Below are 14,542 nucleotides of genomic sequence, written 5' to 3'. Positions count from 1 at the left end.
GGGATCACCTGAGGTCAGGAGTTCGACACCAGCCTGGCCAACATGGTGAAACCCCATCTCTACTAAAAATACAAAAGTTAGGCTGGGAGCGGTGGCTCATGCCTGTAATCCTAGCACTTTGGGAGGCCGAGGTGGGCGGATCATGATGTCAGGAGATGGAGACCATCCTGGCTGACACGGTGAAACTCCATCTCTACTAAAAATACAAAAAAATTATCTGGGTGTGGTGACGGGCGCCTGTAGTCCCAGCTACTTGGGAGTCTGAGGCAGGAGAATGGCATGAATTCCGGAGGTGGAGCCTGCAGTTAGCCAAGATCACGCCACTGCACTCCAGCCTGTGTTACAGAGTGAGACTCCATCTCAAATAAATAAATGAATAAATAAATAAAAATACAAAAGTTAGCTGGGCATGGTGGCGGGCACCTGTAACCCAGGTGCTTGGGAGGCTGAGGCAGGAGAATTGCTTGAACCCAAGAGGCGGAAATTTCAGTGAGCTGAGATTGCACTACTGCACTCCAGCCTGGCTGACAGAGTGAGACTCCATCTCAAAAAAAAAAAAAAAAGGTAAAAAAGAAAGAAAAGGAATTATGCAAACGGAAGCACAGAGAAAAAAAAAATGGCAAAAAAACTGGAACAGAACTTGAAAGAGATGTAAGACAGGATGAAATGCTCTAATGTTTGCATATTGGAATTTCAGAAGGAAAGAGGAGAAATAATGAGTCATAAAACAAGAATTTTCAAAAAAACAATGAAAGATATTAACCCACAGATTCAAGAAGATCTTAGCAAAGCCCAAGCAAGATAAATTTAAAAAAAGAAAAAAAAAGAACACATGCACTAAAACAAAAACACATCCAAGCACATTATAGTTAAATGACTGTTGGAAACTAAAGAGAAAGAGAAACCCTTACAAACAGCTAGAAAGGGGAAAAAAAAAAAAACTTGCAGAAAAACAGTAATAAGAATTATAACTGACTTCCCAAAATAAATTATGGAAGCCAGAAGAAAATGAAATGACATTCTTAAAATACTGGAGGAAAAAAGTACCAAACTAGAACTGTGTATTGTGTATTCTTAAAAAAGGAAGGGTAAAAAGACATTTTCAGACAAACAAAAGTTGCGTGAATTTACTACCATCAGTGCTGTACTACAAGGAATGCTAAAATTGCTTAGATCTGCCATCTAAGATCTGTCTCTAAATAAGTGCCAGCTCCATTAGAACATTCTGATCAGAGATTAATAACCTGGGCATCAGAGACCCTTCAGGTAGAAGGTGATATCCGTAAGCTTCTGTGGGAAAAAAATACAAATTAATTTCTGATAGTCTGTAACTGAAATTTAGCATTTCCTTTAATTCTGAATGTGGGCAACAAACCCACTAGTGCTAGCAGCATCTGTGACTTTGTCTCCAGTGGAAATCACAAATATATTGGGTCAGGCGCAGTGGTTCACGCCTATAATCCCAGCACTTTTGGAGGCCAAGGCAGGCGGATCACCTGAGGCCAGGAGTTTGAGACCAGCTTGGCCAACATGGCAAAACCCCGTCTCTACCAAAAATACAAAAATTAGCTGGCCATGGTGGCAGGTGCCTGTAATCCCAGCTACTCGGGAGGCTGAGGCAGGAGAATTGACTGAACCCAGGGGGTGGAGGTTTCAGTGAGCTGAGATTGTGCCACTACACTCCAGCCTGGGCAACAGAGCAAAACTCCATCTCAAAAAAAAGAAAAAAAAAGAGAAATCACAGATATATTCATATCTATGCTGTTGTTGCAAATGTCTCAAAGTAGTGTTTACACTCATCAGGACTTCAAAATTGTCAGGCCGGGTGCAGTGGCTCATGCCTGTAATCCCAGCATTTTGGGAGGCCAAGGAGGGTGGATCACGAGATCAGGAGATTGAGACTATCCTGGCTAACATGGTGAAACCCCATCTCTAATAAAAATGCAAAAAATTAGCCGGGCGTGGTGGGAGGCACCTGTAGTCCCAGCTACTCAGGAGGCTTGAGGCAGGAGAATGGCATGAACCCAGGAGGCAGAGCTTGTGGTGAGCCGAGATTGCGCCACTGCACTTCAGCCTGGGCAACAGAGCGAGACTCCATCTCAAAAAAAAAAAAAAAAAGACTTCAAAATTGTCATTGTTATTAGGTTCCTGCTGGATCTTGCTGAATAATGCATTAATAAATACATGCATGTATTACCATGGTGCCACTTTAACATTTTAATAAATGTAATTCATGCCATTAATTTCCCTTATAATCCTGTGTATTTTATGCATTTAAAAACATTATTCTGAGAAAGAATACAAGGTTTCTTGTATTCTTGATTGTCCAAGGGGTACATGGTACATGCACACACACATACACGTGCACAAAGGTTGAGAGTTCCTGATCTAAAGGATACAGGAAATGGTCAGGAACAGTCGTCACCTTGTTCCTGTTTACCATGTTGTATTACAGATATTTATATATCTTTCTTTCCTTACTAGCCTATGAATTCTTACAGAGCAGGAATGATGTCTTTTATTTCTTTTGGTCTTCAGTGCATAGAACAGGGCTTGGCATTCATTGAATCATCATTTATAGAGTATCTTCTGTGTATAAGGATCGAGCCCCATTGGGTGAGGAAGAAGAATGGAGAGATTCAAAGGAAAGTGATAATTAATTCATGTGCTTATTTGAGCATTCATTCATTCATTCATTCAGAAAACTGTTCAATTGCTACTCAATGCCAGCCAGTATGTAGGCTCTGGGGACAATAGGAAGAATGGAACCCAAGTCTTTATTCTCATGGAGCACCCATTCCAGCTAATGGGAGAAAGACAGATAAAAGATTTCTGAAGAAAGACAAATGAGAATGAACTCACTTGTTCTGGAAAGGCAGCAACATGGGGAAAATCTTATTCTTAAATCTATATTCATCACCTCTTTCTGGGCAAAATGTTACTGGGAGAAAGTAACACTTAAAGGTTAGAAAATGAAGATAAAGATGCTCTCTCTTCCTTTTTTTTTTTTCTTTTTTAGACAGACTCGCTGTGTACCCAGGCTGGAGTGCAGTGGCACAATCTTGGGTCACTGCAACCTCTACCTCCTGGGTTCAAGCAATTCTCCTGCTTCAGCCTCCCGAGTAGCTAGGATTACAGGCACCTGCCACCATGCCCAGCTAATTTTTTTGTATTTTTAGTAGAGATGAGGTTTCACCATGTTGGCCAGGCTGGTCTAGAACTCCTGACCTCCAGTGATCTACCCACCTTGGCCTCCCAAAGTGCAGGGATTACAGGCATGAGCCACCACGCCCAGCCAAAGATGCTTAGAAGGAAAAGTCAGCTGGGTGCAGTGGCGCGTGGCTGTAGTCCCAGCTGCTGGGGAGGTTAAGATGGGGGGATTGCTTGAGCCCAAGAGTTCGAGAGCAGCCTGGGTAACATAGCGAGACCCTGCCTCAAAAAAAGAGAGAGAAAAATAGTCTTTGGAGTTCTCGTGAGGACAATTTACCTTGTTGCATGGTTGCTGGTCTTGCCTATTAAACTTTGAGAAGTTAACCCTCCATTGCCCAAGATGTTTCAGGGGCTGGCCTGTCCAAACACAGCAAGATAGATGTTTTCCCTCTCTGGAGTTCTGGTTCTTGTTCAAGGATTCTATGATGCAATCAATTAGTCAGAATGTGCAAGCTTGCCTAGATACCTTGTGTCTCCTTTTTCTTGTAAGAGACCACGGCTGGGTGAGAAGGGACTGGGTGACCTCCCTAACCTGCCAAACATGTGCTGAGAGACCAGGTCATGGGAGAACTTAGTGGCACAACAACCTGAATCTATGGGTCAGATCATTTGTCCAGGAAAGACAGCAAAGAGAAAGACCCCTAGCAGAACCAGGGGAAAGAGGGACTGGGAGCTGAGGATGACTTACCATGAAATGGGAGACCTGGGGAAAGAGAATAAGGACAGCAAGGTTTTCAACTGATTAAGATGAAACCTGATAAGGTGAAACCTTTCTCCAAAGAGGCATAACTTCAAAATATAAAAAGATACATTTAATAAATTCATACGACATTTCTCTAAAGAGATATAACCTTAAAATACACAAACACACAAAAAGATAATTTTGGTAAATCTAGGACCTGTTCACAGTAGTATCACCATACATTTGTATTGAAAGTATGGACCAGGCACAGTGGCTCACGACTATAAATCTCAGCACTTTGGAAGGCCAAGGCGGGAGGATCACTTGAGGCCAGGAGTTTGAGACAAGTCAGGGCAACATAGTGAGACCCCTGTCTCTACAAAAAATTTAAAAATCAGCTGGCATGGTGGCATGCGCCTGCAGTCCCAGCTGCTCGGGAGGCTGAGATGGGAGAATGCCTTGAGCCCGGGAGGTCAAGGTTGCAGTGATTCGTGATTGCGCCACCATGCTCCAACCTGAGTGACAGAATGAGACCTTGTCTCAAAAAACAACAAAAAAGAAAGTGTAAAAAATATGTCCTGGGGAACCCTCAGCTCCCTCATTATCCCCAGCCCTAGCTGGCCTCTCTCTCTCTCCGTCTTTAGACTCAGCCCCCTTCACTCCATCTGGACATCCCGCTTCAGCAAATGGTGACGCTTAGAGCTGGAATCCAAAAACTTTTTTTTTTTTTGAGACAGAGTCTCGCTCTGTCACCCAGACTGGAGTGCAGTTGCTCAATCTCGGCTCACTGCAACCTCCACCCCCCAGGTTCAAGTGATTCTCCTGACTCAGCCTCCCAAGTAGCTGGGATCACAAGGATACACCACCACGCCCGGCTATTTTTTTTTTTTTTTGTATGTTTAGTAGAGACGGGGTTTCACCATGCTGGCCAGGCTGGTCTCAAACTCCTGAACTCAAGTGATCTGCCTGCTTCAGCCACCCAAAGTGCTAGGATTACAGGCATGAGCCACCACGCCTGACCAAAGCCATAATCTTTTGAAGAGACAGCAAGAGCACTCTGTGGAGTTGTCATACTTAAGTATGTAATTAAGCACATAAATACAAATAAAATCACTGTGGATTATTCTTTTCAGTTTGTTTCCCATGACAATAGTTGTCTCTTTCCTTCCTTCCTTCCTTTTCTTTCTTTCTCTTTCTTTCTTTTTCTTTCTTTCTTTCTTTCATTTCTTTCTCTTTCTCTCTCTCTTTTTTTTTTTAAGAAGCAGGGTCTCTTTCCGTTGCCCAGGCTGCAGTGCAGTGGTGCAGTCATAGCTCATTGTAACCTCAAACCTAGACTCGAGAGATACCCCGCACCTCAGCCTCCTGAGTGGCTGGGACTGCAGGTGTGCACCACCACATTCAACTAATTTTAAAAATTTTTCTGTACAGATGGGGGTCTTGATATGTTGCCCAAGCTGATCTTGAACTCCTGGCCTCAAGCAATCTTCCAGACTTGGCCTCCCAAAGTGCTGAGATTACAGGTGTGAGCCACCATACCCAGTCTATACTTTATCTGAAGAAAATTTCTTGAAAAGTTCTATTTCTTCAATCATGCCTCCCACAAGTAAGTATTTGATAGGAATGGCACAGTGCTAGGTTCACTAGAGCAATACAAGAATGTGTTTGACAAAGAGTTTACAATCTATCTGGCCAGATGTGAAACTCATACAGATAACTATGTGGCAGAACAGAAAGGCACAGGCAGTTCAGGTAAAGTGGGGAAGAGAGGAGAGAGAGAGGAAGTCCACTGGAGAAATGGTCAGGGACAGGCCTATTACACATAGTTCTGCAGGGTAGAATGGAGATCAGTGGGGTGTATGGGAGGAACCGAGCTCAGAAGTCAGAAGGACTTCCAGTCCACTCCAGCCGTTCAAAAGCAAGAGCTGTAGGATCATGTGGGAAATGCTCAGTTACTGGAAGTATTCTAAAGACATCTGGATAATCTGTTAAGGATATTGTAGAAGATATTCCATATATTACCCCTGTTGGTAGGAAGTTTGGACTCGAGAAAAATGCTCAAGCTCCTTCTGACTCTGCATCCCTTATTCCATCAACAAAGCATGGTATTACCAAGTGAGCCTCCCAGAAGAAATATCACCACTTCATGCAAAGTTTATTGGAAAATCAAAATTTTTTTATTAATTTACTGGATTTCCTATACCTAACAATCCTTAAAACAACTATCAACACCTGCAACACAAACCACAGGCAAAATGAAAAACAGATGCCCCAGACAGCACCCCACCACATGGCACACACTTAATAAGGAACAAAATCCTACAGGGTGCTGACATAACTCGCTTTAAGCATGCAATGATTCCTGCAGTGCTCCCTGGCAATCAACCTCTCTGCACCCTGGGGCTGGATACTTCAAAGTCTTTGTTCTCTTAATAGGTTTGAAGTCAACATGGCAAGTTAAGGACAAGTTAGATGAGATCCCCCTAGTTCATAACGTGAGTTCCTCTTGCTCTCCAATGTTCATCCACAAGTACAGGGTCCAATCCCCTATAAGAGATGGCTTAAGCATCCCAATGGGGAAACAGCCTGCCAGCCACATGGGCAGATTCTATATATTTCCAAGTCCCGCAGCCACAAGACTGAAAGCCATAGAGAATTGACAGCTCAAGCCTCACCTGAACAATGTGTTGAAAGGGGATCTCTCAGGACAGACACTTTGATTTCATAAGTTGGCCCATTTTGGCCCAAATATACCAAATAGAGATGTCATGTAATGTCACTGCAAATCCAGTACAAGATACTAAGAGTACCCGAGAACCTGGGGTTCTCTTTCGGCCATCCAGAAGGTGAGGTCAGCCAGGAGGGTGCCCATTGGTCTCTGACCAACTGATCTGCCAGAGGAAAAGCTGTTCAGTATCCAAGATGCATCAGGTCCAATCCCAGGGGTTCCTAGTTCTCCTTCTGTGCCTGCTGTAACCTCTTGGCCACAGCAGTGATCAGTGCTGCCCCTTTTCCACTGCCATCTTCTGACAGCATGAATGTCACATCACATCGAGGGGCTAGTTCCTTCACAGTTTCCTGCAATATTCTAGAAAAGCTATGAAAAAGAGAAAGAAACATCATCAGCCCTTCCATGTAGAATCAGAACATTTATAAATGATCATAATCTAATTTCTTTAGCTTCTTCCCTTTGGTTTGCTTTTCAAGGCTCTAAACAGCTTCTTCTAATTTTTTTTTTTTTTTAGACATGGTCTCACTCTGTTGCCCAGGGTGTAGACTGCAGTTGTGCAATCACAGCCCACTGCAGCCTCGAGTTCCCAGGCTCAAGCCCCCCAGCTCAGCCTCCCATGTAGCTGGGACCACAGGTATGCACTATCACGCCCAGCTAATATTTGTAATTTTTGTTCATTTTGTATTTTATTTATTTATGTTTGTGGAAATGGAGTCTCCCTGTGTTGCCCAGGCTGGTCTCAAACTCCTGGGCTCAAGTGATCCTCCCGTCTGCCATTACAGGCATGAGCCACTGCACTCAGCCAACTTACATTTCTTGAGCCCCGTGTGAAGCACTTTACATGTGCTAACTCATTTCAACCTCACACATTTAGCCCTATGTGGTAGGGATTATTAGTGCTGGCCTTTTGTGGATGAGGAACCTGGGGTTTAGAGAGGCCGGCTAACATTCCCACATCGTATTACCAGGTAGCAGAGGCACCAGGGCTCACACCTTGTCTGTCAGATTGAATAGGTGACTTGACCACACAGCACTCCTTTCCCATAAAAGGACGGGGATGCATCTTCCCATGCCGCAGTTCAGGAGGCTATGCCAAGTCCACACTTGGCCGCCAGCCCTCCCCAGCCCCACCCGCCACGCCTCTTGTGGGCACTCACTGAGGGTGCAGCTTGTACAGGGTGCCGTCCACACCCACAGTGATCCTCAGGTGCTCTAGCCCCTGGTCTTCTCTCCTTTTTTCCACTATAGCGGCCAGGCCAGCACCGCAGAGCTGGGCCGCCCGCCGGGACACGGCTCCGCACACCTCCTTCACCACGATGCTGTCCTCACACGTGCTGTCCAGGCCCAGCTGCTGCAGAATCCTCCTGACCTGGAGAAGGGCCAGCCGATCGCTGCAGGCAATAGAGCAGGGAGTCAGGACCTGCTTCCCAGGACCCCGGGATGTGCCCAGTGTGACCCACAGCCTCCCCATTCTTAGATGCCCTTACAGGAGGGAGGAGAAATTGACCCAGGCAATGGCTAGGCTGGAGCAGAATGCCTTAGAAGCCGAGACTCAAGAAGGTCCACCACCCCTGGAAGTTCCATCAACTTTAAAAAATAAAGTGTGAATGCCTCTGGTGTTCAGCATGTTCATATCTGTGATCTCACTAGAAGCCATATGAGCTGCAGCAACCAACACACCAGGTACCCATTTTTCAGAAGAGGAGGCTGTGGCTCAGCCTGCTAGAGCTGTGCCCTCTCGTTAGAGAGCAGGGGCTCAAATTCAAGCCTTTTCACACCACCTCTCGCACTTTCCCACAAATCGTGCCAGCTCCCACACTCTGGCCCCCTTCAATTGGAGGCCAACTTTCCTTCTATTTAACTTTTTCTGATTCTCTGCACTTTCTTCCCTTTTTCTCATTTCTCTGCTCTTTGACAGTAAGACTATATCTTCAGTAGTAGCCAGCAGGGTATATTCAATGAGCAAGTGAATAAATGAATATACAAAATACAATCAGAACCTTAGAGAAGGGGAACCTGATAGGACTGTAAACACATGCAGAGAAACACCCATCATAGGGGCAGGCTGGCTTCAAGTCTAGACCCTGGTCATCTCACAGTGAACTAATGGTACTTAAACGGAGCCCTGACTCCCACACCAAGCAATGTGAAGTTGTATCCTTGACTGTCTCAGGTAATACTTAGAGAAGAAGAGTGTTATCAAGAAAGACAATTGAGAAACAACCTATATGACCATACAGGGGATTCAGCAGGTAAATGGCGGTGTAGCCAAACAATAGAATTCTTCATAGATCTTAAAGATGAGTTTGTGGCCAGCACAGTGGCTTACACCTGTAATCCCAGCACTTTAAGAGGCTGAGGCAGGAGAATCACTTTAGGCCAGGAATTTGAGACCAGCCTGGGCTACATAACAAGACCCCATCTCTAAAAAATTTTAAATGAGCCAGACATGATTGTGTATGCCTATAGTCCCTATTTGGAGGCTGAGGCATGAGGATTGCTTGAGCTCAGGAGTTTGAGGTTGCAGTGAGCCATGATCATACCACTGTACTCCAGCCTGGGTAATAGCGTAAGATCTTGTCTCAAAAAAAAAAAAAAGATGAGTTTGCGTGAGAATATTTCACACCATGGAAAATCTTCATGACATAGTGAAAAAATAGATTATAAAATACTATGCACTGTATGATGCTGGCTTTTTGTTTTAATGTTTGCCCTTGCCCAGATTAAAAAAAGACACACACACACACACACACACACACACACACACACACACACACAGAAGGAAATCTATTCAGACATTGGGAGGATTACAGGTAATTCTCTTCTTTTTGAGGCGGAGTTTCACTCTTGTTGCCCAGGTTGGAGTGCAATGATGTCGGCTCACCCGCTTCCTGGGTTCAAGCGATTCTCCTGCCTCAGCCTCCCAAGTAGCTGGGATTATAGGCCCACCACCATGCCCAGCTAATATTTGTATTTTTAGTAGAGACAGAGTTTCACCATGTTGGCTACCTGACCTCAGGTGATCTGCCTGCCTTGGCCTCCCAAAGTCCTGGGATTACAGGCATGAGCCACCACACGTAGCTTAATTCTTATTTTTCTTCCTTTGTTTATCTGTATTTTTTAGATTCTCTAAAATGAATGAATAACATTTGTATAGTAAGAAAAAGAGGTTTTTTAACTGGTGTGTCTAAAGAGAAAGCCTGCAATTCCTTCCTGGGCCCAGCCTTTCACAGCTTACCTAGTTCAAGTACATTCCCTTCCTGATCCTCAGAGCAATCCTGGGGGTTAAGCAACAGGGCAATTATTTCTGTTATGAAGCAGGAAACTGAGGTTCAAAGAGGTGAAACAACCTGCCCCAGGTCACGCAGCATAAACAGGTTAAGTAGTGGAGATAAATCTTAAAACTCAAGCTCTAAGACTGTAAATTCAGGGCACTTCCCCCGGAGAACACTGTCCCATCCATTTGACAAACTGCTTTGAAATGGGCTGCAGTCAGCACAGCACCTACCAATTCCCACTGGCACTAGGTGGATATGATTTTTTTTTTATTCCATGAAGCTTTTAAAAAACAAAACCTGGCCAGGCGCGGTGGCTCATGCCTGTAATCCTACCACTTTGGGAGTTCTAGGCAGATGGATGGCTTGAGCCCAGGAATTCAAGATCAACCTGGGCGACATGGTGAAACTCCATCTCTATAAAAAATACAAAAATTAGCTAGGTGTGGTGGTGTGTGCCTGTAGTCCCAGCTACTTGACAGGGAATGGGAGCAGGGGAGAGGAGCAGTGGTGGCAGCTGAGGTGGGAGGATCACTTGAACCCGGGAGGTTGAGGATGCACTGAGCTGTGATTGCAACACAGCACTCCAGCCCAGGCAACAGAGTGAGACCCTGTCTCAGAAAACAAAAACAAAACAACAACAGAAACCTGTAGAAATCAAAACATCCAAAACAGACACCTCTTGTGCAGCAGAAGCAAATCTTTCTGGTGGCATAAGAGTGTTACCACCTTGTGCTTGTCTAGGAACAACTTTTCTTTTATTACGGAAAAAAAAAAAAGCAAGGCAAAGATAAGTAAACTTGTCGGTCTATTGCTTATGAGGGAGAAGCTGTTTTACACAGCAAAACAGGATCCCTTTGGTCACCAAGCGTGATGATTTTTAACCCATCTGTTCAGATTGGATGGGTTGAAGACTAGACAGGAGAAGGATGCTGAACACTTGCTAATTTACACCCCAAAAATACATAATCGCTGCTGCTGTTACTGATTCCACCATCCTCTCCTTAAACAATAAGAACTCCCCTTAAACAGCCCATCTGATTTGCCTCATTAAGTAAACCACTTTCATGTATAATGTGTTTCTTTTTTCCCCGCTGAAAAGTGATTTTTCACTTGTGGGCATCTGACCATAAAGACCAAGAGAATTAAATGAATGAACACAAATGGAGAGAAAATCCAAACACAAAGCATCAGATAACATCCAGTGCTAGCACAAAAAGCAGTGAAACTGACACATTTGTACATAACTGATGGTGATGGAAATTGAAACTACTTTAAAAAAAAAAACACTGCGCCCATGGTGAAATACTCTTTTAACCAAATGTTTCTACTACTAAGGAAATGATTTACTGTATTCAAATGACTATGTGTACTAAAAGAAAAACTATGGTGTTACTCAGAATAACAGGAATTTATAAATTACAAACTAGACATCCTATATTAAAGGGAAAGTTTAGTAAATTATAGTACAGTAACATAGTATAATATGCAGCCATTCAAAATGATAATTACACCAAAGAGTTGATAGGGGAAAGTTCCTCTTTCTAGAAGTATTCCAGCTAATAACTGCAGGAATCATCACCATTTACGATGTCTAGTGAAATAATAGATCCAGGCAATATGCATCAATGACTGATAACATCCTAAAAGAAAGAGAGACAGACAGACAACTCAATGCCACCTAGAAAATATTCTTGTCCAGAATTCACTACTGAATCTAATTAAGCATCTGGGTCTAACTATGAGTTTTTGGGAAATACAAGAAGACAGAGGAAAATGCTAAATGCTGCAATCCACAAAATCTAGAATACAGGAAACTCATAGATAAGACAACAGTTTCTTCAACAAATACATTGCAAGGGAAAGTAAGAGAGGGAGAGGAAACCCATAGATTAAAAGAGATTCTTTAAGCATATCAACCAAATGCAGTTTATAAACTTTGTCTGGATACTGATGCAAACAAAAGAACTGTAAAAACCATTAATTTTTGGCAATTCAGGAAATAAGAACACTAACAGGATATTTTGTGAGATTGAGGTTTATCATTAGCTTTTTAAGTGTGATAATGGTACTGTAGTTATGTTTTATTAAGAATCCTTATATTTCAGAAATACATTATGAAATATTTATAGATGAACTGATGTAAGATGTGGGGTTTGTTTCAAATTAGCCCAGCCTGAGGATGGGGACAGCAGGACTTTATAGATGAGCCCAGTTTGGCCATGAGTTTATTATTGTTGAAAGCGATCCTGAATCAGTTGGAAAGAGAAGAGCAGCCCCAGGAGGCAATCCCTTACCCAGCCAGGGCCTTTCTGTTTTTATTTTTAAACCTCAAATTGGCCCAACCCCAGCGTGGTGGCAGCATATGCCAGTCAGAGCCTCATGATGAACTTGATCACAGGTCACCTTTCGATCTGGGACAGGAACTTGGTTTCGAAGATGCCCCTGGTCCGGAGACGCTCTGAAATCTGCCCTCGGAAGAGGAGACCCTGCTTGGTCAGGTCGATCAGGATCTGCCGCACAATCTCCCCCAAGTACATCCCACTGGTCATTTTCTCGTATCTGTTTGGAGAAGAAGGATAAGGTTGGGGCAGACCTGCAATGCAGAAGACCACATGATGTGAGAAGGCCAGGCTTTGGAGCTACGCATGGAGCAAGATCCAGATCCTAGCTCTGCCACATACTAGCTGCTTGATGTGAGCAAGCACTGCAAGCTATCATCTACAAAACAGGGAGAAGAGTAGCGCCCCTACAAGACTGTTAGGAGGCAAGCATCTGGGTACAGTGGGCACTAAGCAAAATTTAGTCCCTGGTCTTGGCCCCAAAGCCAATTCTCCTTGGCTTTGTGCTACAAATCTGTTCCACTCTGCAAATTCTACTCTGTGAGTTAACACATTGAAACTGTCTGCATGCACCAGGGGTGCTCAAAAGCATTAATTCCCTTCCTCCTTTCTACCAGACCGTGAGCTCCATGAGGGTCAAGAGAGCAAGAGAGAAAAGGGGCCTTGTACTGACCAGGCACTCTGCACAGGGTGTGTGATGGTGACACACATCATCATTAACAACAGTGACACAGAGCCAGACTGCCACTGCTTGCAGAGTCAAATGGGAAGCATTTATGTGCTGGGCTTGGGTTCTCTTAACTGCTCAAGACCTCATCAGCCTAAGGGAATTAACACCAGAACAAAAAATGGTGATTTCAAGGCAAGTTCAAAGGTGCTGCCCCCTTAAAACCTCAATCCAAAAATGTGAGCCTTCAGTGGCTACAGACACAAAGCTAACTAGAATGAACTGCCCCTTGGGAAGAGCCATGACACTCAGGTGCCCCAACTTGGGATTCAAAGGGAAGGTCCCTTCTTTTTGGAGCAATCCTTGCTTCAGCTGGGCTTACCACAACTCACCTGCCTTCCAGTTACAAGATTGGTGCCAAAGAGGAAAGAAACCACCAGGGCCAGTCTTGGTCTTGTCTGAGCCTCTTCCTAGACAACATTCTCAGTTCAACAGCTCCCAAGGTGTCCATGGCCTAAGCATCCCCTCACATTTCCCATCTGCTCAAGCTCTCAACTTGGATAGCACCCATAACAATAAATCTATGTTTCCCATTATTTTCTATATTAAGACACTGAGCTTAGTTTTGATAAAGACCATATGGCCTGCAAAACCTAAAACATTTACTATCTGTTCTTTTACAGAATAAGTGTGCCAACTCCTCTTCTAGTGGATGGGCCTGGGTTAATAATCAAATTTTAGCATGTGATATGATTTGGATTTATGTCCCCACCAAAATCTCATGTTGAATTACAATCCCCAGTATTGGAGGAGGGGCCTGCTGGGAGGTGACTGGATCATGGGGGTGGATTTCCCCCCTGTTGTTCTGGTGATAGTGAGTGGGTTCTCACAAGATCTGGTTATTTTAATAGTGTGTAACGCCTCCCCCTTCACTCTTTCTTCCTCCTTCTCCAGCCATGTAAGACGTGCCTGCTTCCCCTTCACCTTCTGCCATTATGGTAAGTTTCCTGAGGCCTCCCAGCCATGCTTCCTGCACAGCCTGTGGAACTGTGAGCCAATTAAACCTCTTTTCTTCATAAATTACCCAGTCTCAGGTAGTTCTTTACAGCAACGGGAGAATGGACTAATATCACATGCCAGCTCTAGCTCTGCTACCCCTTTCTCTCATAATATCATAATGCAAGTGAAATCTACTCTAATTTATTTTTTAGGCCATTCATTATTTTCAGTATTTTTCATGTGGTTAGTCATTGGAATACACCTCACAAGTGATTGTGACCCGTGGTGGGACATGACATCATGGTCGAGAACCAGCACTCTCATCCATCACAGGTGGCCACTTCCCCACTCCCAGAAAAGGTCACCAACCTGGTAGCCAGCTCTTGAAGGCCTGAGGATGTTGGCCTCTGAAAGAGACTTATTAAAAGCCCATCTCAAGAAGGCTCACTGAGTTACCATGCCCTTGGTGAATGAACATGCTGGCAGCCTCTGCCTCACTTCCAGAACCACCACTAGACCTTATGGGGCCTTATGGTAATTAGAAAAAGGGACTTTTCCCCTTTACCTGTTGCAAACTTGTCATCATATTTTTCTTTTGTTCCAATAGGATATTTCACTGACATTCGACAGCTGTAATAA

At 44.0% G+C, this 14,542-nt stretch overlaps 2 protein-coding genes across 12 annotated transcripts in view; both read right to left on the bottom strand.

The window, feature by feature from the left end:
- Positions 1–3,596, bottom strand: part of HK1 (hexokinase 1) — a 131,883-nt gene extending 128,287 nt beyond the window's left edge. For 3 of the 8 annotated variants that reach the window (NM_033498.3, NM_033497.3, NM_001322364.2), the window contains exon 1: positions 3,488–3,591. The gene's annotated coding sequence lies outside the window, so the exon portion shown is untranslated. Of the gene's footprint in view, positions 1–2,499; positions 2,590–3,487 lie in introns of all 8 variants that reach the window. The other 5 variants (XM_047425137.1, XM_047425136.1, XM_024447969.2 and 2 more) reach the window with 3 other exon arrangements.
- The window catches only part of HKDC1 (hexokinase domain containing 1), a 47,221-nt gene continuing 38,722 nt past the window's right edge, over positions 6,044–14,542 (bottom strand). For 2 of the 4 annotated variants that reach the window (NM_025130.4, XM_047425784.1), the window contains 3 exons: positions 12,302–12,457; positions 7,778–8,011; positions 6,044–6,986 (listed from right to left, as the gene is read on the bottom strand). In NM_025130.4, the coding sequence (NP_079406.4) occupies positions 6,839–6,986; positions 7,778–8,011; positions 12,302–12,457 (538 nt within the window). In that variant the 3' untranslated portion in view covers positions 6,044–6,838. The other 2 variants (XR_007061989.1, XM_011540195.3) reach the window with 2 other exon arrangements.

This window comes from Homo sapiens, chromosome 10, assembly GCF_000001405.40.
Source record: "Homo sapiens chromosome 10, GRCh38.p14 Primary Assembly".
Classification (NCBI taxonomy): Eukaryota; Metazoa; Chordata; class Mammalia; order Primates; family Hominidae; genus Homo; species Homo sapiens.
The sequence above is the reverse complement of the archived record's forward strand: the minus strand, read 5'-3'. Positions and strand labels throughout refer to the sequence as shown.